Raw genomic sequence first — 22,740 nt, 5'->3', positions numbered from 1 at the left:
GACAACACCACGCCCCAGGCCTGGCGAGCGCACCCTGCGGGTGGGGCGGACCTACGTCAGCAACCCATCGTCCGATCCCGTCCATTGGCTGAGAGGTAATGCGTGCGCCCGACTCGCCGCTGATTGGTCGGCGCGCGAGCAGCCGGGCTCGCACGGGCCAATCCTGTGGTAGCGCGTGAGGAGGCAGAGGCCTCTGGGGTGGGATCGCGGGCCGTAAGTGGCTGTGGAGCTGGGGTCACTGCGCGGTGGGACCATGGCCTCGGAGAAGCCGCTGGCGGCAGTCACTTGTACAGCGCCGGTCAACATCGCGGTCATCAAGTACTGTGAGTGCCGCGGGCCGGCCTGGGACGGGGATGGCCGGGAGCGAGGCCGGGTACGCGGGGGTCGCGCGCTGATTCGGCGGCGCGCTCCGTCCTGCCCTCCCAGGGCCTCGACAGACGGGGAAACTGAGGCTCAGGGAGGGGCGCGGCGGTGGTCGGGCGGGGCCGCGCGCTCCTTCGCGTGACAAGCTCGGCGCCACCCGTTCCCCCGCGACGGCTGCCGCCCCTGCAGGGTCGCCCGGCGCCTGCCCATTAGCGATTACCGAACTATCGAAATCATCAATCATCGATTCCCATGAATCGTAAGAATCCGCCGTGGTGGTGCGCGTTTGTGGCTCCAGCTACTCGGGAGGCTGAGGCGGGAGGATGGCCAGAGCCCGGGAGGTCGAGGCTGCAGTGAGCGGAAATCGCGCCACTGCTCCCCCAGCCCGAGACCCTGTGTCCCTCCCTCGCCCCGTTTCTCCCAGCGGTAACCTCCAAGGAGCGGTAATGGGGGGCCCGCAGGCCCACATCCGTGCCGGGGAGGCCGGTCCGCACCTGTGCGTTCACAGCCCCGCCCCTCCCCTCGCGCCGGGGTTACCTGGCCGCCACTGACCACTCATTTCTGTAACGTCATTTCAAAATGTTCTGAAACTGGAATCGCAGTTATGTGGCCCACCCAGTATCTTTTGAGTTTGGCTTATTTCATTCAGCATAGAATGTGGACGTGCCCCGGGATTGTATCAGTGCTTTGCCCCTCTGTTGCTGAGCCAGTCCGTGGAATCCATGGACCACCCTCTCTCTAGCCAAGGCCTCACCCCGCAAAGAGCATCTAACGTTTTCTTTCTTTCTTTCTTTTCTTTCCAGAAGCCGCCACCACGACTGGCTAATTTTTTTGTGTTTCCCTTACCAATAAAGCTGCCATAAAATGTTGTATACAGGTTTTTGTGTGAACATACATTTCCATTCTTCTGGGATAAATGCCCAGGAGTGCGGTTGCTGGGTCAGATGGTAGATATATATATATGCCTCTCTGTCTCTCTCTCTCTTTCTATGTATATATGTATGTTTGTGTGTGTGTATATATATATACACCTGTATAGATATATGTGTGTGTATATGTATACACCTATATAGATGTATGTGTGTGTATATATACATATATATATTATATATATACTTTTTTTTTTTAAAGAAACTGTCTAATTGTTTTTCAGAGTGGCTGGGCCATTTTGCATCCCTACGGTGATGCAGATTTTCCGCATCCTCACCAGCATTTGGTGGAGTTGCTGTTTTTCATTTTAGCCGCGTCCTGGTAGGGATGTGCTGGCAGGGTGCTGTGGTCCTCATTCGCGTTTCCCTGTTGGCCAGTGACGTGGAGCATCTTTCTTTGTGCTTATTTGCCATCTGTGGGTTTTCTTGGTGAAATCTCTCTTCATATTCTGTGTCCACGCTCGAACTGGATGGTTTGCTTTTTTACTATAAGTTTGGAGAGTTCATTACACATTCTAGGCTGGGCACGCTGGCTCAAGCCTGTAATCCCAGCACTTGGGGAGGCTGAGGTGGGCGGATCACCTGAGGTCAGGAGTTTGAGACCAGCTTGGCCAACATGGTGAAACCCCCGTCTCTACTGAAAAAAAATAAAATATGTATTCTAGATATTAGTCTCCTGTTGGACATGTGGTTTGCAGGTATTGTCTCCCAAACTAGCTAATCTTTTTGTCCTCTTAACAAAGAGCCAGTTTTTCATTTTAAAGAAGTTCAGTGTATCAATGTTGATGTCAAGTCTAAGACCTCTTTGCTTAGCCCTATGTCCTGAAGATTGTCTGCTTTCCTCCAAGTTGTACAGGATTGCCTTTTATATTTAAGTCTGTGATCCAAGGTTGTCCAGTTAGCCCAGAAAGGCTATCCTTCCTCTATTGAATTGCTTTTGCACTTTTGTAAAAAAAAAAATCAGCTGGGCATGTTTGTGTGGGTCTATTTCTGGATTTTCTCTTCTGCTATTTTTTTTTTTTTTTTTTTTTTTTTTGAGACAGAGTCTTGCTCTGTCACCCAGGCTGGAGTGCAGTGGCACAATCTTGGCTCACTGTAACCTCCGCCTCCTGGGTTCAAGCAATTCTCCTGCCTTAGTCTTCTGAGTATTTGGGACTACATGCACGTGCCACCACACTTGGCTAATTTTTGTATTTTTAGTAGAGATGGGGTTTCACCGTGTTAGCCAGGCTGGTCTGAAGCTCCTGACCTCGTGATCTGCCCACCTCAGCCTCCCAAAGTGCTGGGATTACAGGTGTGAGCCACCGCGTCTGGCCTTTTATTTTTATTTTTTATATTTATTTATTTTATATTTATATTTTTATATTTATTTGTATTACTTTTATATTTATTTTTTTGAGACAGACTGTCACTGCGACACCCAGGCTGGAGTGCAATGGCGTGATCTCGGCTCACTGCAACCTCCGCTTCCCGGGTTCAACCGATTCTCCTGCCTCAGCCTCTCGAGTAGCTGGGACTACAGGTGTGCGCCACCACACCTGGCTAATTTTTGTACTTTTAGTGGAGACGGGGTTTTGCCATATTGGCCAGGCTGGTCTTAAACTCCTGACCTCAAGTGATCTGCCTGCTTCGGCCTCCCAAAGTGCTGGGATCGTAGGTGTGAGCCACTGAGGCTCACCAACAGTGATATTTATGGAAACGTGTCCATTTTCTTGTAACGTTCAGAGACTCTGGTCTTCTTTAAACCTTACGTTTGAGCTGGTTTTTGATAGCGCGCTGGTGGAGGAGGGGGTGCTGGCTCAAGATAAGGAGGCAGAAGTCCAGGTTCCCCTCCCCACCAACGCTGTCCCATCCCCACCAGGCCCTCAGGAATTCCTGAGTGTCTGCTTGGCCTCTGACAAGAGCCGGCAGGTCAGGGGAGTCCAGTCTCCCGTGTGCTCTCCAATGACTCCTGGGGAGGTGAAAGTCCCCACTCCTTCAGGGAGGGAAAGGGGGCGGGGCACTGTTCCAGCCTGGAGTGTGGGAGGGATCTGTTTCTTTTTTTCTTTTCTTTTTTTTTTTTTTTGAGAAAGGGTCTCCCTCTGTTGCCAGGCTGGAGTAAGGCTGGAGTGCAGTGGTGCCATCTCGGCTCAGTGCAACCTCCGCCTCCCAGGTTCAAGCGATTTTCCCGCCTCAGCCTCCTGAGTAGCTGGGATAACAGGCGTGCGTCACTACAGCCTGGCTAATTTTTGTATTTTTAGTAGAGATGGGGTTTCACCATATTGGTCAGGTTGGTCTCAAACTCCCGACCTCAGGTGATCTGCCCACCTCGACCTCCCAAAGTGCTGGGATTACAGGCGTGAGCCACCGCGCCCGGCCAGGAGTCTGTTTCTGTGTTGCTAGGCTGCCCTTCCTGGTCCTGCTAGGGAGGGCTGGCTTTGGTTGGCAGTTCCAGCTTCTGCAGGGCTAGGTCTAGGGCAAGCAGAAAAGAAAGCCCCGGGCTCCCCCTGCACTGTCCCACAGCCGCCCTCTGTCACCCGTGAGAGTCTCACCTGTGATGTCCAGGGTCTCAGTTGTCCCCAGTGGGAGGAAGCGGGAGAAGTCCCCTGGCCCACCTTCCTGAAAGCAGAGGTTCGCCCGGCCTGTCAGGGCAGCGGCGTCCGCCTGCAAGGGGGGCCGCTCAGTGCTGTGCGTGAAAGAGCCTCGCGAGCTGCAGGGCGTGGTTCTCTGCCAGGTGTCCGCGTTTATCACCCCTGGAACTGTCCGCCATCCTCAGAGACCTCCCCTCGCACAAAACCGAGCAGATGGTGTGCTTAGCGAAGCCGCCGTGGAATAAGACTTCAGCTGAAGCACCACGCAGCGCTCCCAGGGCAAACGTTTCCTTTCGGGCTTTCTGGAAGTTTGATTTCACGTGCTGTCCCATGGCCGTGCTGGGCAGAAAGGGGTTTATCCTGGATGTTCCTGGGGCATATGAGCAGTGAGATGTGAGGAGTTCTCAGAGCTGGGCTCCTTTTGTTTGGGAAGGTGGAGGGGAGGCAGGCCGCGGTGGGAGCGATCCGCACCTGGGCACTCACGGATGCTGGAGTAGAAGCGATGAAGGAATGGGGAGCGGGGACGGAGGTTGGCTGGCCTCCAGCTCTGCTCTGGGAGCCTGAGCTCAGTGGGGTGGGAGCAGTTCTTGCAGGCCGGGGTCTGGCAGGAGGAGGGGCACACAGGTTGTGCGGTGAGAGACGGGACTGAGGCGGATGGGGGCCGTGGGTGGGGGGTGGGGGCACCTGTGGGGAACACTGGGGGAGGGTGGGCCGGGAAGCCCACCGGCCTGGCCCTGGCTGTTCATTACAGGGGGCAAGCGCGATGAAGAGCTGGTTCTGCCCATCAACTCCTCCCTGAGCGTCACTCTGCACCAGGACCAGGTATGTGTGGACTGACGACTAAACACCACAGTGCCATTTCCAGAACATTTGTAGAACAGTTGGTACCCGTTGGGTATGGTGGCTCACATCTGCAATCCCAGCACTTGGGGAGAGTCTCTTGAGCCCAGGCATTGGAGACCACAGTGAACCATGATCGCACCACTGCACTCCAGCCTGGGTGACAGAGTGAGACCCTGTCTCTGAAACAAAAAAAAAATTGGTACTTTTTTACCTAAAGGCTAGGATGAGATGGCCTAGCGACGACTCCCAGCCAGCACGCAGTGTCTGTTCCATCTCCCAGTATTAGGAGAGCTGAGCACAGCACACATGTGCCCCCAGGTCTCGTCACACATGCGCACACCGTGCCCCAGGGGCTCCCCTGGGAGTCCCCGTCTCTTTATTCAGGATAAGGCCTGGTTGCTCCACAAGGTGTGGCCCACGCTTTCATCCCCCACGGGCTTCCCCACTGCCCAGCTGAGACTGGCCTTTCCCCCCCTGCCCTCAGCAGGGCTGACCTTGCTCGAGTGGGCAGCCATGAGGCTCTCTCAGTAGAAAGGGGTACCTGGCTGGCATCGGTCCTCAATGCTGGCCTCTGAGGTGGCCCTGGGTTTCCTTTTCAGTTAAAAACCACCACAACAGCCGTCATCAGCAAGGACTTCACCGAGGACCGGATTTGGCTGAATGGCCGGGAGGAGGATGTGGGGCAGCCGCGGCTGCAGGCCTGCCTGCGGGAGAGTGAGCTGGGGTCCCCATAAGCCCATCCCTCCCTGTTGTCAGCAGGGTCCGAGCATCCAGAAAGTGCTTCTGCCTCTGTGCCCCTCCTGAGGCAGCAGGCGGGGTGGCTGGGAACCAGACATGCCCGCTGGGCCGCCAGCTCCAGGGCAGTGGCCCACCTCAATGACCAGCTGGGCTTGGGTCAGTCTGGGGTTTTCCCGGGTAAGAAACTCTCCACGAGGAGTCTGGCAGGCAGAGGCCTGGTGTTCAGCTGTGACCCCGGGCAGGTGGGCAGGAGCAGGGCGGGCAGGGTGCTGACGGCTGGGCCACACGCTGTCTCATTGTCTCTGCAGTCCGCTGCCTGGCCCGGAAGCGGAGGAACTCACGGGATGGGGACCCGCTGCCCTCCAGCCTCAGCTGCAAGGTGCACGTGGCATCGGTGAACAACTTCCCCACGGCTGCGGGCCTGGCCTCCTCAGCGGCGGGCTATGCCTGCCTAGGTGGGTGCCCACAGAGACCCGCAGGGGTTCTGGGCTGTGGGCGCAGGAGCCACTTCATGCTCTTCCCGGGTCAGGGAGCCCACTGCTGGGCGTGGCTAAAAGAGCATCCCCTCACCCCAGGCCTCCCTGGCCTCTCTGGAGTTGTTCAGTCTCTTCCCAGAGCACATCTGAACATTTTCATCTTCCAGTTGCAGCTGGCGTGGGGCTCTCGCCTGTAATCCCAGTACTTAAGAGGCTGATGGGGGAGAAGCACTGTAGGCCAGGAGTTCAAGACCAGCCTGGGCAACATAGTGAGACCCCCCCCCATCTCTACAAAAAATAAAAAAATCTTCCCGTTGCTGTATGTGGAGCCCCTCTAGATTGTCAGTGATAGAAACCACTTCAAACTGGCTCAGCCCTAAAATAGCGATGATTTTGTGGCTCACGTAACTGAGGATTCCAATGGGCACAGCTGGTTGCAGGCCCCGCTGGACCCAGCTCTCTGCTGGCCCCAGGCCACTTGCTGGCAGCTTCCCACCCACTGTCAGAGCCTGTCCCCCCGGTGGTGGTCTCACACCATCTTCACCCCTCAACTCCAGGGGTGACGCTTCCTGGCCCACCTGGGCTCCTGCGCCTTCCCTGAACCACCCTCGGTGACCAGGGTGGGTGACCAGACCTGGAGGTGGGGTTGCCCTGCTGGAGCCCTGTGGGAGGAGGGGAGAAGGTGGCTCCCGTGCTGGGTGGGCAGGGGGCGCGTCTTGTGGAGTCCAGCTCTGTCCTGGCATCGGTCCCTGCCCCACACAGCCTTAAAATTCCTTCCCACCCTCAAAGCCCAGCTTGGGTGTCCTCGGGGGCCTTTCTCCCGCCTTCCATGGGGCTTCCTGCTCTGCCGCAGGTACCTTTTGTTGCCCTTGTCGCGGGCCGCAAGCTCTGCAGGCCGTGAACAGAGAGTGTCCGAGAGTGGAACTAGCGGAGGTGGGGGACAGACGGCTGGGCCGGTGAATGCTGGCCTCAAAGGCTGATGGCCCAGAAGCCCTGTCATCTGGAAATCCCCATTTGCCGTGGGGTGTGGGACGTTCCTGGGGCGGTGAGCTGTCAGGGAGCACAGCGCAGGCAGCTCTGAGGACCCTCCCTGAATCCGCATGCCTGCAGCCTACACCCTGGCCCGTGTCTACGGCGTGGAGAGTGACCTCTCAGAAGTGGCTCGCCGGGGCTCAGGCAGCGCCTGCCGGAGCCTGTATGGGGGCTTTGTGGAGTGGCAGATGGGAGAGCAGGCCGACGGGAAGGACAGCATCGCTCGGCAAGTGGCCCCCGAGTCACACTGGCCTGAACTCCGCGTGCTCATCCTTGTGGTGAGTGGGGTGGGGCGGGTGGAGCAGCAGCCCGGTGGCCTCTGTCCCTAGTCAGGGCTGCTGCCGGGAGCAGGAGCGAAGGCGTCCATCCAGGCTTTGCTTGGCTCCTGGGGTCAGCGGGGGCTGAAGGAACAGAAGCGTGGTTGAGTGCTCAGGAACCGCTCCCATGCGGCGGGCGCCACCACCCGCTGGGATCTGGAAGTTGCCCCTGCGTCACCCCTGCTGTGGCCGGGAGGCCTCTGTGGTCAGGCAGGTGGCACTGACTCCCACCCCCGCTGCCTGCATTGGCTGAGGGAGGGCCGAGTGTTTGAGGCTGAGGTCCTTGGGGCTGGCCCCCTGCAGGGTGTGGCCCAGGCTGTCTCTCCCTCGTGCAGGTGAGCGCTGAGAAGAAGCTGACAGGCAGTACCGTGGGCATGCGGGCCAGTGTGGAGACCAGCCCCCTGCTTCGGGTAAGGCCAGGAGCGGGTGGTCCCGGGGCCCTGGGAGTCACGCTTGTGCCCGGCTCTGCCCTCAGCCTCTGTCTGGGCCCGAGTGTTCTCACACCTGCGGCAGCCCCGCCAAGACCACGTGCAGGAGCCAAATGCAGAGATGGGGCTCGAGCCGGGCCTCCAACCCCGGAGTCTCTCCTCGAACCCTCTGCTGTCGAGACCCCCAGCGGCTCCATGGGAAACACCCTGTGCCTTGCAGTTCCGGGCCGAGTCCGTGGTGCCCGCGCGCATGGCGGAGATGGCCCGCTGCATCCGGGAGCGAGACTTCCCCAGCTTCGCCCAGCTGACCATGAAGGACAGCAACCAGTTCCACGCCACCTGCCTCGACACCTTCCCGCCCATCTCTTACCTCAATGCCATCTCCTGGCGCATCATCCACCTGGTGCACCGCTTCAACGCCCACCACGGGGACACCAAGGTGACGCGGGCCGGGAGGGCAGAGGCTGCGCTCGCGCTGTAGCGCGTGTCTAGGCTTGTGCTGCCGTGGAGACGGCCCCGGGGCTCGCGTGCAGGGCAATCTGTGTCTGAAAGCTCCACCCTGCTGTGTGCGAAGCTCACTGACCATCTGGGTTCTTCTGTTTCATTTTGTTTCTTGACTTGCCCGGGTCACGGCCCCACCACCTTCTTCCTGGGTTCACAGGCAGACGTGTCAAGTACCAGGCACTTGGGGTCACAGCTCCACTCCAGTGTGGCCCTGAGGGCCTAGACTGAGCTCTTGGAGAGCCCAAGGCCGCCTGGCAGACCAGAGGGTTGGGGAGACAAGGGTCAGGCACCACGTGAATAGCCAGGGTGACTGCTGTGGGTTCCAGGTGGCGTACACCTTTGACGCGGGCCCCAATGCCGTGATCTTCACCCTGGACGACACTGTGGCTGAGTTTGTGGCTGCTGTGTGGCACGGCTTTCCCCCAGGCTCGAATGGAGACACGTGAGTGTGGACCCCGCCCCTCCTCCTTTTTGGGAGATGGTGCCAGGAACTCTGGTCGGAAGAGACGGAGGCACCTGAAGGCTGTGGCGCTGAGACAGGGAGTCCCAGGGCAGGCAGCAGTCCCCCGAGTGTGGGAGCCACGGGCAGGGTGTCCCCATAGAGCCATCCCACAGCCCACGTCCACAGGGAAGAAAGAGAGGCCGCTCACGCGTGTGTGAGCAACGCCCAGGGTCTCCCACCTCCTGAGTGACAGCGTCCCCTGCAGCTCGGGACCCCGCAGGCTCTTATTCTATAGAACAGTGGCTTAGGAAACACGCCTGCACTCCCAGATGTGTGCGTAAGTGTCCGACATTTTGAAGGAAAGGAGTCAAAGCCCCTGATTTCCTTCTTACTGAAGCGAGTTAGAGCCAGTCAAGGCGGCCGGGTGTTGACCCCGCCCCGGCAGTTGGGTGTCTTTTCTTGGGTGGGGTCCGGCAGCTGCATCTTGGCGCCACAGAGCCCCCATGTACGCCCTCCTCGGTGCACAGCTTGGCCCTGAACCGCCTCTTCCCCTGCGCTGCTCTGTGGGGGTGCCACAGAGCCCCCATGTACGCCCTCCTCGGTGCACAGCTTGGCCCAGCCTCCTTACGCCCCGGGGCTGTTGATTTCTTCCCTCCCGTGTTTTCATGGTGTCTTATTCTCAATGTGAGAGGCGCCTCCCATTTAAGGGTGTCTGGAAGCGTGTGGGGATGTGCGTCTGTCCCGGGTGGGAGCAATAACACCTTCTAATGGTCAGGGGCCTGCCCTGTGGGGTGGACTCAGACCCACACCCCAGGACTGCCCGCCTGGGAAGCACCAGGCTCGTGGCTGCTGCTCCGGGTGGGGCTTGCAGGCTTCCGCTGTTCTGCAGAACACGGTGACGAACGCACCAGCTTGAATTGGGCGCTTCCCTGAGCTGTTACCCCATGGGGCTTGGCAGCACCCTTGGCCAGATGTGGGTCCAGCCTGGGCATAGCTGTTTACCACATAACCTAAAATTTCCTGTCTCAGCCATTCGAGAGCATATAATCCTGCGGTGTTGAGGACATTCACAGGGTCATGTGAGCACCACCTCAAGCCACCTCCTTAACTTTTTCATCACCCCTAAAAGAAACCTGTCCCCACAGCAGCCACCTGCCGTCTCCCCCTCCCTGAGCCCTGACGGCCAGGAATGCACTTCCCATCTCTGGACTTGCCTGTTGTAGACTGTTGTAGACGCTTAGAGAAACGGATGCATTCACCGTGCCCCTGCCCTGCTTTTCCAGGTTTCTGAAGGGGCTGCAGGTGAGGCCGGCCCCTCTCTCAGCTGAGCTTCAGGCTGCGCTGGCCATGGAGCCGACCCCCGGTGGGGTCAAATACATCATTGTCACTCAGGTGAGGCCTGGGGCTCACCCAGTACCCCGGGGTTTCCTTTCCTGCCAGGGGGGCCCGCCCAGCCCCCAGGGCCCTTAAAGGCTAAGCGCGGCTCCCTGTCCCTACCGTGTCTCAGGCAGGAAGCCAGAACGCCTTTGTCCATTCATTTGCTCTCAAAGTGGACATTACAGGCCACTGGTGATGCTCAGAGCAGCAGGGCTGCGCTGAGGGTGGGAGGGTGAGTCTGACACAGGCTCCCAGGGAGACAGGTGGGGAGTATCAGACCCTTGAATAGGGAGCGCCTGGGGTGGGGGCTGCTGGGGTCCCTGGGACCCCCCCACCCCAACCACCCCAGCAGACCGGAGTTCCTGCCCTCTGACCTGCTCCGAGGGCCAAGCTTGCATCCAGTGATCACGGCCGCCCAAGCCATTGCCGCCACCTTCCTCTCAGGGGCTGCCTGTTCCCAGGCTCTGTGGTTCTCTGTCCCCCCTGTGACAGAAGCAGTGCCCAGGGCAGGGGGCTCGCAGCTGGCAGGGGCGGCTGTGCCTGCAGGAGCTGCGTGTGGGTGTCACCACTCAGGCGCTTTACCTTCTGACCAGGACCCACAGGAAGGGCGGGGGCACACCGCTACCCTCCTGTGTCCGGCCCTACAGATGCTGGGCACAGGATGAGGCGCTGCCATTCCTGGTGACCTGACATGGATTTCTATCCCCAGGTGGGGCCAGGGCCTCAAATCCTGGATGACCCCTGCGCCCACCTCCTGGGTCCTGACGGCCTGCCGAAGCCAGCTGCCTGACTGCCTCAGCAGGGACCGCATGCCGCTTGGAGAAGGGGTGGCCTCGCCGGAGCTAGGGAGCGGATGTGGTGGGCTGGCCGGACTCCTGGGACATGTGGGTGGTGGCTTGACCCCGGGCCCATGGGCAGCTTGCTGTGGGGCAGTGCAGGGAGTCCTGCGGCCGCCCAGGTGTCAGGAGAGGTCCCCGCCGAGTGCTTCAGCTGCCCTAAGCTGCACCAGCGCTTTGCCAAGATGGGATGGGGAGGGGGTATGAGAACTGGCAGAGCCTCGGTGCAGCAGGGCTGAAGGGCTTTCTCACCCCAGCTCTGGCTATGCCCAGTTCTCTGAGAAAGGAGCTCAGTGGGGAGGTGGTCCCTCCAGCGGACCAGGGAAGGGGTCACCGTGCTGGGAGCAGCCTCCTTGGGCCTCAGGAAACCACCAAGTGCCTCGGATGGTGGCTGCCCACGGCGCTTCTGCTGAGACCCTGCCCCCGGCCCAGGTGTCTCGGAGGGTGGCTGCCCACGGCCTGGGTGTGGCTGGAATGGTGGCAGGAGTGGGCACCAGTGCGGCCCCGGTGGCCATGGGGAATAAACCAGCATTGCTGCCTCCGGCCTCCGCCGTTTTTCTGTTTCGTAAACCAGCATCCCGGGGTTCCTGCTCTGAGTGACCCTGGCACCTGTCAGGGAGTCCAGGTGTGCCCCATGAGGGCCTGGGGGAGGGGCAGGCTGGGCAGAGCCACAGAGGGGCTCCCCTCAAACCCCACATTGGCTCAGGTGGGACCCTCAGGAGCAACCCCAGGTCTAAAGTCTTCCCATGGGCGCTGGGCTCACCACCCCCACGCCAGCCCCTGCCTCCCGTACCCAGGCCGGACGTGACGGGGCCGTCCCTGCATTCTGTGCTTTCCCAGTTGTACACATCCTGTCCCCTCCCTCGAGTCTCAGTCACAGTTCAGTGACCTGGTGACGGGAGGCCCCCTGCAGTGTCTGACCCAGGCCACGCCTGTGCCAGCCCAGAGCCAGGGGGAGGAAATGGGGGCTGGGCCTCTGGTCCCCATGGGGAGGCCACCCTTGTCCTTGGTAGCATCAGGGTGCAGAGGTGTTCCCGGGCTGTAGGGGTGACTCCCCCACCCCCCAAGGCTCTGGAGAGGCCGATTTGCTCAGGAAGCCGACCTTCACACCTTGTCCTGCTATTAATAGACGCCTGGTTGACACGGGACCCTCGGTTGGGTCCGGAGCATTGGGCAGGGGCACTTGTCAGTGTTTGAGAGCTGAAGTTTGGGAAGCCCTGGGGAAGCGCAGGAACTCCCCGCCTGGGCTGGGGCTGCCGGGCAGGGCCCCTCCTATGCCTCGGCGTGGCTAGAGAGGGCGGGGGCAGAAGGCTCCGGGACAGCCCTGCACCCTACAGATGCGGGTCTCCGCCCAGCCGCGGTCACCTGGGGGGCTGGGGGCGGGGCCTGGGCGGGGCGGGGTTCGGCCGGGAGCGCAGGGGCGGCAGTGCGCGCCTAGCAGTGTCCCAGCCGGGTTCGTGTCGCCATGGGGCAGATCGAGTGGGCCATGTGGGCCAACGAACAGGCGCTGGCGTCCGGCCTGAGTGAGTGCACGTCAGGGACGGTGGAGGCTGCAGCCTGGAGGGGTGTCCCAAGACCCCAGCCGGGACCTCGGGCTACTTACAGGGTGGGGAAGTGGGGCGCCAGGCGGGCCAGGCCGGGCCGGGGTCAGGCCAGGAGGGTGCGGGGAACGGGGGCGGGACCCTCAGGCCGCGGGCTGGAAGGAGGAGTTCTGAGACCCCCAGTAATTCCCTTGCAGACCCTGCGGAGCGCGGCGCCCCTCCCCCATTCCCTTCTCTCGGTCCCCCGACTCCGCGAAGGAGGAAGTTGCAGCGCAGGGGAAGAGGCGGTTCAGCCCCGGTGGTTTCCGGGGTCACCGCCCCGAAGCCCCCGAGTGGGGGCTCCGGCCTGGGCATCGGGAGAAGCTCCCCTGCCCCTCGGTAGCCAGCTGGCCTGGAGGTCGCTCTCCCTGGGCTTGGGGTGGGGAATGGGCTCATGCCCTGGGGCTCAGCCCTTCTCATCTGGAGTCTGCGCTGGAGGCGGTCTGAGATTTCACAAGGCGCCGAAACCACCCAGTGACGGCCCTGCCCAGCCCAGCTGCACAGGCACTTTGCTCTTGGGGTGGGATGGCACAGCCCCCAGTCACCCTCCTGTGCATTTGCTCAGAGGTTCTGGTGAGGGCAGCGGACTCCATTTGGAAATGGACCCTCTCGGGACCAGGGCCAGGGAGTGTCTGGCCCAGCACGGGTGAGGCTGGGCTCAGGCGAGGTCTGAGGGCAGAGGCACCACTGCAGCAGCTCCAGGAAGGACCTGCACCGGGGGAGGAGTGCCTGGGAAGGGCCTGGGGGCTGAGGGTGAGGAGGAGGGGCCCGCTGCCACCACTCCCCTGGGGCTCTGAGCGCCCTCCCTGTTGTCTGGAGGGTGCGTGGCAGCTGGAGTGGGAGCAGAGACCTCAGGGTGGGAGGGCTGGAGGACGGGGCCCTGCAGCCTGTCCTGTGCCCAGGAAAGTGACCGCCTGCTTCGAGTCAGCGGCCAAGAAGTCGGTGGGTCAGTTCAGACAGCTCTCCCCAGAGCTGCCCCGTGAGACTCACCCTGCCTGCCCCGCACTCCCTACAGGAAGTAGACGGACTGAGGGCACCCAGCTGGGAGCCAGGAGACCTGGGCTCTAGTCTGGCCTCCTGCTGAAACCCTCCAGGGGCTCCTGGCCCGAAGAGTTAGAGCCAGACTGGACGCCCTGCACTGCCCGCCCTGGCCTCCCGGCTCTCCGGCCCCCTCCTCCAGCTGCCGTGCTTCCTTTCTGTTCCTAGATCTCCTGAGCGTGCCCCAGGGCCTCGGCACAAGCTGCTGCTTCTGCAGAGCCTCATGGCTGTCTCATTTATTTCTCAATTCAAATGCCACCTGCCTGGGGAGGTCCTTCCAGACCGTGCAGCCCCAGGAGGCAGCTGGCCCGGAGACAGCAGGGCCTTGACAAAGAGTCCCCCCTGTACACAGCAGGTGCTCTGTAAATGTGGCTGGGTGCCAGAATACGTCCTCAGACCTCCCTGGTGGCACCAGCGGCAGCTTTGCACCCTCTTTCGGATGGCAGGCTCGGGACCAGGACGGTCCCCAAAGATGCATGGACAATTGGCTGAGTAGACTCAAGGACACTGCCCTCCCCTCCTCCGACGCAGACAGACAAACCCAGAGAGTTAATGTGTAGCTGGGCTCAAACCAAGGATAGGAAATCTTCCAACAAGACCATGTGGAGACAAAAACAGAATGGCTGGCAGGGCAAGGTGGCTACACCTGTAATCCTAGCACTTTGGGAGGCCAAGGCGGGCGGATCACGAGGTCAGGAGATCGAGACCATCCTGGCTAACACAGTGAAACCCCGTCTCTACTAAAAATACAAAAAATTAGCCGGGTATGGTGGCAGGCGCGCATAGTCCCAGCTACTCGGGAGGCTGAGGCAGGAGAATCGCTTCAACCTGGGAGGTGGAGGTTGTAGTGAGCTGAGATCACGCCACGGAACTCCAGCCTGGGTGACAGGGCAAGACTCTGTCTCCAAAAAAAAAAAAAAAAAGAAATAAAATAGTAGGAAGGACCAGGCGCCGTGGCTCATGCCTGTAATCCCAACACTCTGGGAGGCCAAGGCGGGCGGATTCCCTGAGGTCAGGAGTTCGAGACCAGCCTGGCCAATGTGGTGAAAACCCTGTCTCTAATAAAAATGTAAAAATTAGCTGGGCATGGTGGCGGGCGCCTGTAGTCCCAGCTACTCAGGAGGCTGAGGCAGGAGAATTGCTTGAACCCTGGAGGCGGAGGTAGCAGTGAGTCGAGATCGCGCCACTGCACTCCAGCCTGGGTGACAGAGCAAGACTCCGTCTCGAAAAAAAAAAAAAACAGTAAGGGGGAATATTGGACAATACCCCCCCAAAAATGTGCAGAAATAGCCATATCAGACGAAACCGAAATTAAGGCAAAACCGCTGACGGGTTAAGAGGAACTCCGTATCGGGGGGAAAAAGACACTCCCCCAAGAAGATGCAGAAACCACACTCGGCCTGTTAGCTTTCAGTGCATCAAACAAAGACTCATGGTGACAAGGGGGTCCATTTGGGGGTCCCAGAGCCCACTGGGGCCTGCAGGTCGGGCTGTCCTTGGCCACTCCTGGGACCCAGAGCCCGGGCATGTCCAGCACCCCCTCCGCCAGCCCGTGCGCCACAGGCTCTGCTCTTCACCAGTGCAGAGGGGTGCCTCCTGGGGGTGTCCCCGACCCTGTCACTGTGCTGTGGGGATGGGTAGGGGGCAGCTCTGGGTGGCCTGGTGGCCCACAGTAGGTAGAGAAGGGGGGTGGCCCAGGCCCCCGGGACGGGAGCCCCACAGTGCCTGACCCACTTCTCCCCGCAGTCCTCATCACCGGGGGCATCGTGGCCACAGCTGGGCGCTTCACCCAGTGGTACTTTGGTGCCTACTCCATGTATCCTTCCACCTGAGGCTGGGGTGGGCGGGGAACGCCCAGGGCAGAGCTGGGGAGCCACTTCACAGTGAGCTGTTTGCCTCCGCTCCCCACCACCGCAGCCAGGCTGGGACACAGGGTGGGCTGTGCACGGGTTGGGCAGCCCAGGCCCCAGCAGCCAGGCCCCTCGCCAGGACCATGTGGCGATCAGCGGCAGACCCGCCAGTCTAAGTCCTGGTGAGTGGTGGGCAGGGGGTGTCACCAGAGGGCCAGGGCCAGCACTGAGGCCTCCCTGTTGGACTGCTGGGATCCCCTCTGCCCGCTCCTGTCAGTCATCCCCCTTGACCGGCCCCTCTACCTCCTCTGCCCCATCTCAGCCCTGCCGCCCAGCCGGACCTTGCGACAAGGAGCACTGGGCAGGGTGGTGGGAGGGAGGGCGTGGGCAGCCCCGAGTGCCAGACCTGTTGGAACCTCCCGTGGCTGCCTCCTGGCTCTGTGACCTCAGGCAGTGGCTGCCCCCGACCTTTTTTGAGACAGGGTCTCGCTCTGTCCCCCAGGCTGCAGTGCAGTGGTGCAGCTGTGACTCATGGCAGCCTCCACCTGGGCTCAGGCCACCCTCTTACCTCAGCCTCTGGAGTAGCTGGGACCACAGGCACACACCACTGCACCTGGCTTTTAAATTTTTTGTAGAGATGAGGGTCTCACTATGTTGCCCAGGCTGGTCTCAAACTCCTGGGCTCCAGTGATCCTCCCGCCTCAGCCTCCCAAAATGCTGGGATTCCAGGCATGAGCCACCGTGCTCGGGCCCCTCTCTGTGTTGTCTTCAGTAAAGGGAGTTCCCTGTGGCCCCTCAGGCTGAGCTGGGCTGTTCCTTAACCACATGGCTTCAGTGTGGCGGGCGTGTTTGTGTGCCTGCTGGAGTACCCCCGGGGGAAGAGGAAGAAGGGCTCCACCATGGAGCGCTGGTGAGTCTCCTCCTGCTCTGGGGTCTCTCCGGGGGCTGCGGGGCCCAGGCAGGGCTCACAGGGTTGGGTGGAGCTTGGTTTCTCACTTGGAGGCTCCGGAACCAACCCTTTGGTGCTTGTGGGTAAACCAAGGCCGGTGCCTGCCCGGTGTGTTTTGTGGGAGGAAAGAGGCCTGGGTGCCCTGGGGTGGTCAGCAGGGCAGCAAAGGAGTCCCGAGTGGGAGAGGCCCAGCCGCGCCGTCTCGCCTTCCTCCCTCCCCCAGGGGACAGAAGTACATGACCGCCGTGGTGAAGCTGTTCGGGCCCTTTACCAGGAATTACTATGTTCGGGCCGTCCTGCATCTCCTGTGAGTCCCCGTCCCGCACCCCCTCTAGGGCTCAGGAGGGCTTGGAGCCGACCCTCCCCACTGTCCCACCGGCCGGGCTGCCTGGACAGGAGCCACCCCCACTTACCTCAGTGTTTTTCCAAACAAAAATTCGGGTCCCTGGCTCTGGCAGGGCCTGTGTCTGCTGTCTAGTGTGCAGGATTTGTAAGGATCCACTCCAAATCCGAGGAGCTCCGATCCGTCGCCAGGGTCTGGGGTCAGCATGCACTGCTGGGGGGTCTTGCCTGGGCTTCCTGGTAGGGTGGAGGGTTCCGTGCTGTGTGTCTGCTGGTTACTGCCGGCTGAGGCCAGGACACCCACACGTGGCTGCTTCCTCCGAGCAAGTGCACCAGAGCCGCTAGTGTCCACATCAAGGCTGAGAACACCCAGGACCGAAACAAGCCCCGGTCCGCGCACGTCCCCTGGGTCTGCAGTCTGCCTTGTCCTGAGACTTTGTGGCCTTGGCCCCCAGACCTGGGGCTCCGTTCCCCTTTCTGAGTGCCCTTCTGTGTCCCTGCCTCTCACCCGCTGTCCCCCAGGCTCTCGGTGCCCGCCGGCTTCCTGCTGGCCACCATCCTTGGGACCGCCTGCCTGGCCATTGCGAGCGGCATCTACCTACTGGTGAGTGGCGCCCTCTGAGGTCGGCCCCGGCCACCCCCATCCCCAGCCCCTGCCCTGACACCCTCGGACACGCATGGCCCTTGAAGCCGGCTCTGTAGGCTGAGCCAAGGCTGGGAGCAAGTGTGAGCCTGGGCGTGTGCTCACAGCACGGCGGGGACGCAGCGGTTGCTGCTGCCATTTTTGGCGTGTCTAGTGTGTCGGGTCATTTCCTTGCATTTCCTCATTAACCCGCACCACAGCCCTGGGAGGGGTACTGGGGTCCCCACTTTACAGACAAAGATGCGGAGGCTCAGGGAGGTGCTGTGACTGGCCTGGGGTCACGCAGCCGGCCGAAGACCGTGCCTGCGCTTGGGTCCCATTATCAGGCTTTTCTCACCTAAACCCTATTCGCGCTGATTCATGGGCGGTGCCAGGACGCAGACATTTTCTTAAACTGCCGACACCTGCGTTTGGTTTATGACTGCTGCACCCTGTTAGAAGGCTGCCCATCCCATGGGATACAGTGATCTCTCTGAGAGGCCAGGGATGGGTGGGAGGACAGGGCGCAGCCTGGCCAGGCCTTGGGTGAAATGCCCTCTGCCTGCCCTGGGCTCCGGAACAGACGGCTGCAGGCCACCTCTCACTGCGGGGGTCTCTGGGTGGACAGAGCCCTCAGACTTTGCTTATTTAAATCCTTTTGTCCATAGAGCCAAGTCCCTCCTGCCCGCAGAGGCAACTGCCCTCCCCTTGCTGTGCGTCTTCTAGTGTGTGTGCGTGGGAAAGGTGCAGCACTTTCTGTGTACGCCTTCCGCGTATGGAAGTGGAGTTCTGTTTCAAGCCTCACTGACCTGCCACCGGCAGAACTCTCCTTTAGAACCCCTTCCTGTTGCCAAGTGCTCATCTGGGCTGTTGCTTTGTTTTCCGGGGGCCACCCGCATCCCCCCCGTCTCCCTGCTGCCACGCACAGCTAGTGGCTCCTGGAGACCTCGGGAGGAATTCCTTGTGCTAAACCCAGAGAGGAATTGCTGGGTCAGGCATCAGCCTCTGCACCGTTCACCCTGCCGGGCTCAGCTGCTCCTCAGCAGACAACCCACCACCAGCCATGTGGCCCCATCTCTCCCACCATGCACTAGGCTTTCTCCCACGCTTGCCAGTTTCACAGCACGAGCTGGCCGTGTGGAGCTTGGACTCGCCCTTCTCTGACTGTGGATTTGAGCTGTTGGAGTTTCTTCTCCCTTGAGTTGCCTGTTCAAATCCTTTGCCCATTTTTCTATTGTGGTTTTTGTATTTTTCTTTTTCTTCTTTTTTTTTTGAGATGGAGTCTCGCGCCATCGCCCAGGCTGGAGTGCAGTGGCGTGATCTCGGCTCACTGCAACCTTCGCCTCCTGGGTTCAAGCAATTCTCCTGCCTCAGCCTCCCGAGTAGCTGGGACTACAGGCACGTGCCACCATGCCTGGCTAATTTTTGGTATTTTTAGTAGAGACGGGGTTTCACCGCGTTAGCCAGGATGGTCTGGATCTCCTTGACCTTGTGATCCGCCCGCCTCGGCCTCCCAAAGTGCTGGGATTACAGGCGTGAGCCACCGCGCCCGGCCTGATTGTCTTTTTCTTAAGTTGCAGGAAGTCCACATATATTTTAGCTATTTAGCCTTTGTAACCTTTAAACACTGGGGATGCCTTCATGCTTTCTGGTGAGGGTCTGTTAACTTGGCGCGTGGAGTCCTTCACTGCACGGAAGAGCAGAGGTTTCCCTGTTCACCTGCTCTATGGTCTGTGCTTTGTGAAAACACCTTTCCCTGGCCCTGGGTCCTGCCTTCACGTTCCTGCCTTTTCTTCTATCAGCCTTCTAGTTTTGCTTTTCAGAATGGAATGTTTCCGTTTTGGAGTCAGGTAGGATCACACATGTCCAGTTTCTCTTTCTGTTCATGACGTATATGATGTGACATATTTTTCCACCAGATATTATGGGATAGAAGATGAAAAGCACACACTCCCAGGTCCACTTGACCTGTTGCAGTGGAACCTCCGGGCATGGGCCCAGGAGTCTGTATTTTTAGTAAAAGCCAGTGGAATCCCGTGGTCTTCAAGCTCTCCCCCCACCACCCCCATGTGCAGAAATGCCTGGGCACCCTTGGGGGGCTGCCGGCCAGCGTGGGTGAATGGCGCCCACCAGACGGAGCAGGGCCTGCTACTCTCCTGGGCCACCCCTCCTGCTGGACCTCGGGCCTGCCTCCCTGCCTTCCCTGCCCTTGGCACCTTGAGAGGAGAATTTGAGTACTAGAATTTGCATCTGGGAGTGTCCACCACGGGATCTTCCAGAAGCCCAGGGGTTCGGGCCCCACTCCTGGCATGAAGAAATAGCTTGGGCTGGTGTCAGGCCGACCCAGGTCCTGGCTGTGTGGCCTCGGGCGCGTCACTTAACCTCTCTGAGTGGCAGTCACACCATCCTGCGTGGGATTCAGACTTGAGCCTGTCCCAGGGCCCCTAGCGGGGTGGGCCTCCGGGGAGGGAGGGAGGGAGGGAGGGCGGGCGCTGGGGCGCGGCTCAACCCTTCAGTGCCCCGCAGGCGGCTGTGCGTGGCGAGCAGTGGACGCCCATCGAGCCCAAGCCCCGGGAGCGGCCGCAGATCGGAGGCACCATCAAGCAGCCGCCCAGCAACCCCCCGCCGCGGCCCCCGGCCGAGGCCCGCAAGAAGCCCAGCGAGGAGGAGGCTGCGGTGGCGGCGGGGGGACCCCCGGGAGGTCCCCAGGTCAACCCCATCCCGGTGACCGACGAGGTCGTGTGACCTCGCCCCGGACCTGCCCTCCCGCCAGGTGCACCCACCTGCAATAAATGCAGCGAAGCCGGGAGCGCGTGAGCCTCTGCCTGGGGCCGGTGGGCGGGGCTGGGGTAGCGATGGTTCCCGAGGCCTGGGCAGGCACCCCGTTTCCTGCCAGCCGGGCCGCATTCCAGTTTCATTAACATCAGCATCGCCTTCCTTCTCAGCAGCACACGAAATCCCGGGTACCGTATATTCCACGAAATATAGTACCTGGATTCCAGGTGTGTGCCTCCCTAGAAAGGTCCTCCCGGGCCTGGAGGAGGCAGCAGAGTCCTCCCTTGACAGCTCCTGCAGGCCCTGCAGGCCCTCCACACCTAACGCCTCCCTAAGGGGCTTGGATTCCAGAGGAGGCCGCTGGCGTTAAGTGAAAAGGGAACAGGGTCGGAGCCACGTGGTGAGCCTCTACCCTGCGCCTCTTTTCCGTAGAAGCTGGGGTGAAGCTGGTGGCGGATGTGGCCTTGTTTGCCCCCACACTGATGCTGGGGGGCCCCCCAGCTGCCCAGGACGCTCAGGCCAAGTTGCAGGGGCTTCTGGCCACCCCTTCCCCTCACTTGTGCGGAGGCTGTGGCTGGCTGCACACACACCTGCCCACAGGTCCTCACCACCACCCCAGCCCGGTGCCCCCAAAGCTTTGCCCGGCGTCAGCCACGTCCCCCACCTTTGGGCTCTCGCCAAGGCACCCACTCCCCTGAGGCCGGAGAAGCCCTTGCCTGCTGCTTGTCCACCTGCTCTCCCAGCAACTCACACTTCAGAGCCAGGGTCCTCTGTTCCTGGGGGCCTTCAGAATCCACCCCCCACCAGCCAACACTCGGCACCATACAGACGTCTCAATCCAGCCTCATCTCAGCCGTCCCCCCAGGTCACCAAGCTTCAGGTCACCCTTGAAACCCCCACACCCCACATCCAATCCTGGCCCAAATCCAGACCCCAGCTACATGGGCCATCCCCACCCAGGCCACCTGCCGCCTCCCGCTCTGCCCTCATCCCCTGAAACCATCCTGATGCTGCCATTGAAACCCAAAGCCTCACCCCAGTGCCTCCGGCTCAGAATCCGCAGGCTCAGAACCCACAGGCTCAGCTACCTCCAGTGACAGCCACAAGCTTCTGATGGCCCCAGGGCAGACATGATCTGCACCCCCAGCGCCCTGCCCTGCCCCTGCGGTCCCCCTCTCACCTGGCATCAGCCACGCAGGCCACTCTCTGACCCTTGGACACACGCAGCATGTGTCTTCTCAGGGCCTTTGCATGGGCTCTTCCTGCTGCCTGGAGCTGTTCCCTGCATGGCTGCCTGGCTCCTTCCTCCTCCCCTTCAGGTCTTCGAGGCCTCCCTGACCCTCTGCTTAGAACTGCAGCCCCTTGGCCGGGCGCGGTGGCTCACGCCTGTAATCCCAGCACTTTGGGAGGCCGAGGCGGGCAGATCATGAGGTCAGGAGATCGAGACCATCCTGGCTAACACGGTGAAACCCCGTCTCTACTAAAAATACAAAAAATTAGCCGGGCGTGGTGGCGGGCGCCTGTAGTCCCAGCTACTCAGGAGGCTGAGGCAGGAGAATGGTGTGAACCCGGGAGGCGGAGCTTGCAGTGAGCCGAGATCGCACCATTGCACTCCAGCCTGGGCCAGAGCGAGACTCCTCAAAAAAAAAAAAAAGAACTGCAGCCCCTCCCCCAGAGCCTCTGTCCTGGACTCACTCACAGACTACACACCACTTGTTTCATTAGTCACCGTGGAGGCAGGAAGGGTTTTCACCATTTTGTTCTCGGCCTGTTCCCAGTGCCAGGTGCTTAGTAGAAACTCATATGGCTGGGTGCGGTGGCTCACGCCTGTAATCCCAGCACTCTGGGAGGCCGAGGTGGGAGGATCACTTGAGCTCAGGAGTTCGAGACCAACCTGGCCAACATGGCGAAACCCCGCCTCCACTAAAAATACAAATATGAGTTGGGTGTGGTGGTGCACGCCTGTACTGGGAAGCTGAGCTGGGAGGATCGCTTGAACTCAGAAGGTGGGGGTGGCAGTGAGCTGAAGTCATACCACACTGCACTCCAGCCTGGGCAACAGAGCGAGACCCTTTTTCAAGAAAGAAAAGAAACTCAATAAATGTGTTGAATGAAAATTCCATCTCCTGGACAAGGGCCACCACCTCCAGGAAGTCTTCCCTGAGGCCTCTTGCTTTGGGAGTCTGAGTGGAGTCCTTGTTCTTCTGTGCAGCACCCCCACCCCCATCTCCAGGCACCTGGACGCAGTAGGTGGGTGAGCCAGGGGGCCAGGCAGGGGAGGGGCTAACAACTGCCCAGCAGCCCCATGGCAATGTCAGCCCTTGGGGCCGGGGGCCTAGAGACTGAGACCCTGAGACTGTCACAGGCCTGGGCCCCCTTTCCACGACTGGGGCTGCTCCCCCCGGGGCCCCTTAACTAAAATCTCCAACAGAGCCTGGGTCCCGAAGCGTGGCTAGTTCACCATCAGGGAGGGCGCTTGGCCTTGGATGTTGATCCGAACCACGAAGGCTGGGGGCCCTGCCTTGAGCCGACAGCCCTGCAGTTCATCCTCAGAGACTTGCCTTGGGGGCCGAGAGGGTGCCCCTAGGCGCTCACATCATTACAAAGCATAGGGCTCAAGGCACTGCTTGAGGAAGGAGGCTGGTTCCTGTTCCCAGGGGTGTCCTCAGGGGAGACACTGTGTGGGCAGAGCAGGGACACCTGTGACCCCCCCGTGCTACAGCTCAGTC

General features: G+C 60.7%; 2 protein-coding genes across 7 annotated transcripts, besides 10 other annotated features; both read left to right on the top strand.

Annotated features, from left to right (window-relative positions):
• Window positions 79-498: a silencer, noted in NCBI's record as "silent region_7865". NCBI's record gives its function as "represses an Ori minimal core promoter by ATAC-STARR-seq in GM12878 lymphoblastoid cells {active_cell/tissue: GM12878}" and the evidence as "EXISTENCE:reporter gene assay evidence [ECO:0000049][PMID:35858748]".
• Window positions 243-11,394, top strand: MVD (mevalonate diphosphate decarboxylase). Of its 5 annotated transcripts, XM_011523089.3 has the most exons (13): window positions 243-323; window positions 553-622; window positions 2,697-2,814; window positions 4,614-4,684; window positions 5,305-5,419; window positions 5,752-5,898; window positions 6,087-6,188; window positions 7,030-7,229; window positions 7,604-7,678; window positions 7,917-8,135; window positions 8,527-8,642; window positions 9,926-10,034; window positions 10,729-11,394. In XM_011523089.3, exons 7-13 carry the CDS (start codon window positions 6,137-6,139, stop codon window positions 10,807-10,809), a joined length of 852 nt encoding a protein of 283 aa, XP_011521391.1. In that variant the 5' UTR covers window positions 243-323; window positions 553-622; window positions 2,697-2,814; window positions 4,614-4,684; window positions 5,305-5,419; window positions 5,752-5,898; window positions 6,087-6,136; the 3' UTR covers window positions 10,810-11,394. The 5 variants fall into 5 exon arrangements, with proteins under 5 accessions (XP_011521391.1, XP_011521389.1, XP_011521388.1 ...); XM_011523087.3 differs by lacking the exon at window positions 2,697-2,814; XM_011523086.3 differs by lacking the exons at window positions 553-622; window positions 2,697-2,814.
• Window positions 11,259-12,153: an enhancer, noted in NCBI's record as "H3K27ac-H3K4me1 hESC enhancer chr16:88717589-88718483 (GRCh37/hg19 assembly coordinates)". NCBI's record gives its function as "activates a minimal SCP1, AML or CMV promoter by ChIP-STARR-seq in naive H9 embryonic stem cells {active_cell/tissue: H9 hESC(naive)}" and the evidence as "EXISTENCE:reporter gene assay evidence [ECO:0000049][PMID:30033119]".
• Window positions 11,682-11,831: an enhancer, noted in NCBI's record as "active region_11360". NCBI's record gives its function as "activates an Ori minimal core promoter by ATAC-STARR-seq in GM12878 lymphoblastoid cells {active_cell/tissue: GM12878}" and the evidence as "EXISTENCE:reporter gene assay evidence [ECO:0000049][PMID:35858748]".
• Window positions 12,092-12,371: a silencer, noted in NCBI's record as "silent region_7864". NCBI's record gives its function as "represses an Ori minimal core promoter by ATAC-STARR-seq in GM12878 lymphoblastoid cells {active_cell/tissue: GM12878}" and the evidence as "EXISTENCE:reporter gene assay evidence [ECO:0000049][PMID:35858748]".
• Window positions 12,092-13,047: a biological region, named in NCBI's record as "H3K27ac-H3K4me1 hESC enhancer GRCh37_chr16:88716695-88717588".
• Window positions 12,154-13,047: an enhancer, noted in NCBI's record as "H3K27ac-H3K4me1 hESC enhancer chr16:88716695-88717588 (GRCh37/hg19 assembly coordinates)". NCBI's record gives its function as "activates a minimal SCP1, AML or CMV promoter by ChIP-STARR-seq in naive H9 embryonic stem cells {active_cell/tissue: H9 hESC(naive)}" and the evidence as "EXISTENCE:reporter gene assay evidence [ECO:0000049][PMID:30033119]".
• Window positions 12,281-20,045, top strand: CYBA (cytochrome b-245 alpha chain). 2 transcript variants are annotated; one of them, NM_000101.4, is made up of 6 exons: window positions 12,281-12,378; window positions 15,220-15,289; window positions 16,159-16,233; window positions 16,496-16,579; window positions 17,137-17,218; window positions 19,763-20,045. In NM_000101.4, the coding sequence occupies exons 1-6, from the start codon at window positions 12,321-12,323 to the stop codon at window positions 19,979-19,981; spliced, it is 588 nt and encodes a 195-aa protein (NP_000092.2). In that variant the 5' UTR covers window positions 12,281-12,320; the 3' UTR covers window positions 19,982-20,045. The 2 variants fall into 2 exon arrangements, with proteins under 2 accessions (NP_000092.2, XP_011521207.1); XM_011522905.4 differs by having other exon boundaries at window positions 17,905-20,045.
• Window positions 12,522-12,671: a silencer, noted in NCBI's record as "silent region_7863". NCBI's record gives its function as "represses an Ori minimal core promoter by ATAC-STARR-seq in GM12878 lymphoblastoid cells {active_cell/tissue: GM12878}" and the evidence as "EXISTENCE:reporter gene assay evidence [ECO:0000049][PMID:35858748]".
• Window positions 13,048-13,943: an enhancer, noted in NCBI's record as "H3K27ac-H3K4me1 hESC enhancer chr16:88715799-88716694 (GRCh37/hg19 assembly coordinates)". NCBI's record gives its function as "activates a minimal SCP1, AML or CMV promoter by ChIP-STARR-seq in primed H9 embryonic stem cells {active_cell/tissue: H9 hESC(primed)}" and the evidence as "EXISTENCE:reporter gene assay evidence [ECO:0000049][PMID:30033119]".
• Window positions 15,835-15,884: an enhancer, noted in NCBI's record as "active region_11359". NCBI's record gives its function as "activates an Ori minimal core promoter by ATAC-STARR-seq in GM12878 lymphoblastoid cells {active_cell/tissue: GM12878}" and the evidence as "EXISTENCE:reporter gene assay evidence [ECO:0000049][PMID:35858748]".
• Window positions 21,890-22,717: an enhancer, noted in NCBI's record as "H3K4me1 hESC enhancer chr16:88707025-88707852 (GRCh37/hg19 assembly coordinates)". NCBI's record gives its function as "activates a minimal SCP1, AML or CMV promoter by ChIP-STARR-seq in primed H9 embryonic stem cells {active_cell/tissue: H9 hESC(primed)}" and the evidence as "EXISTENCE:reporter gene assay evidence [ECO:0000049][PMID:30033119]".

This window comes from Homo sapiens, chromosome 16 (assembly GCF_000001405.40).
Source record: "Homo sapiens chromosome 16, GRCh38.p14 Primary Assembly".
Taxonomy (NCBI): Eukaryota; Metazoa; Chordata; class Mammalia; order Primates; family Hominidae; genus Homo; species Homo sapiens.
This window is presented reverse-complemented; position numbering and strand designations above follow the sequence as displayed.

Coding starts and splice junctions, on each gene's coding strand:
- MVD (XM_011523086.3), top strand. CDS start 254: ATGGCCTCGGAGAAGCCGCTGGCGGCAGTCACTTGTACAGCGCCGGTC. Junction 8,643..9,925: donor CCAGGCTCGAATGGAGACAC/GTGAGTGTGGAC, acceptor CTGCTTTTCCAG/GTTTCTGAAGGGGCTGCAGG. Junction 10,035..10,728: donor AATACATCATTGTCACTCAG/GTGAGGCCTGGG, acceptor TTCTATCCCCAG/GTGGGGCCAGGGCCTCAAAT.
- CYBA (XM_011522905.4), top strand. CDS start 12,321: ATGGGGCAGATCGAGTGGGCCATGTGGGCCAACGAACAGGCGCTGGCG. Junction 12,379..15,219: donor GGCGCTGGCGTCCGGCCTGA/GTGAGTGCACGT, acceptor TTCTCCCCGCAG/TCCTCATCACCGGGGGCATC. Junction 16,234..16,495: donor GGCTCCACCATGGAGCGCTG/GTGAGTCTCCTC, acceptor TCCCTCCCCCAG/GGGACAGAAGTACATGACCG.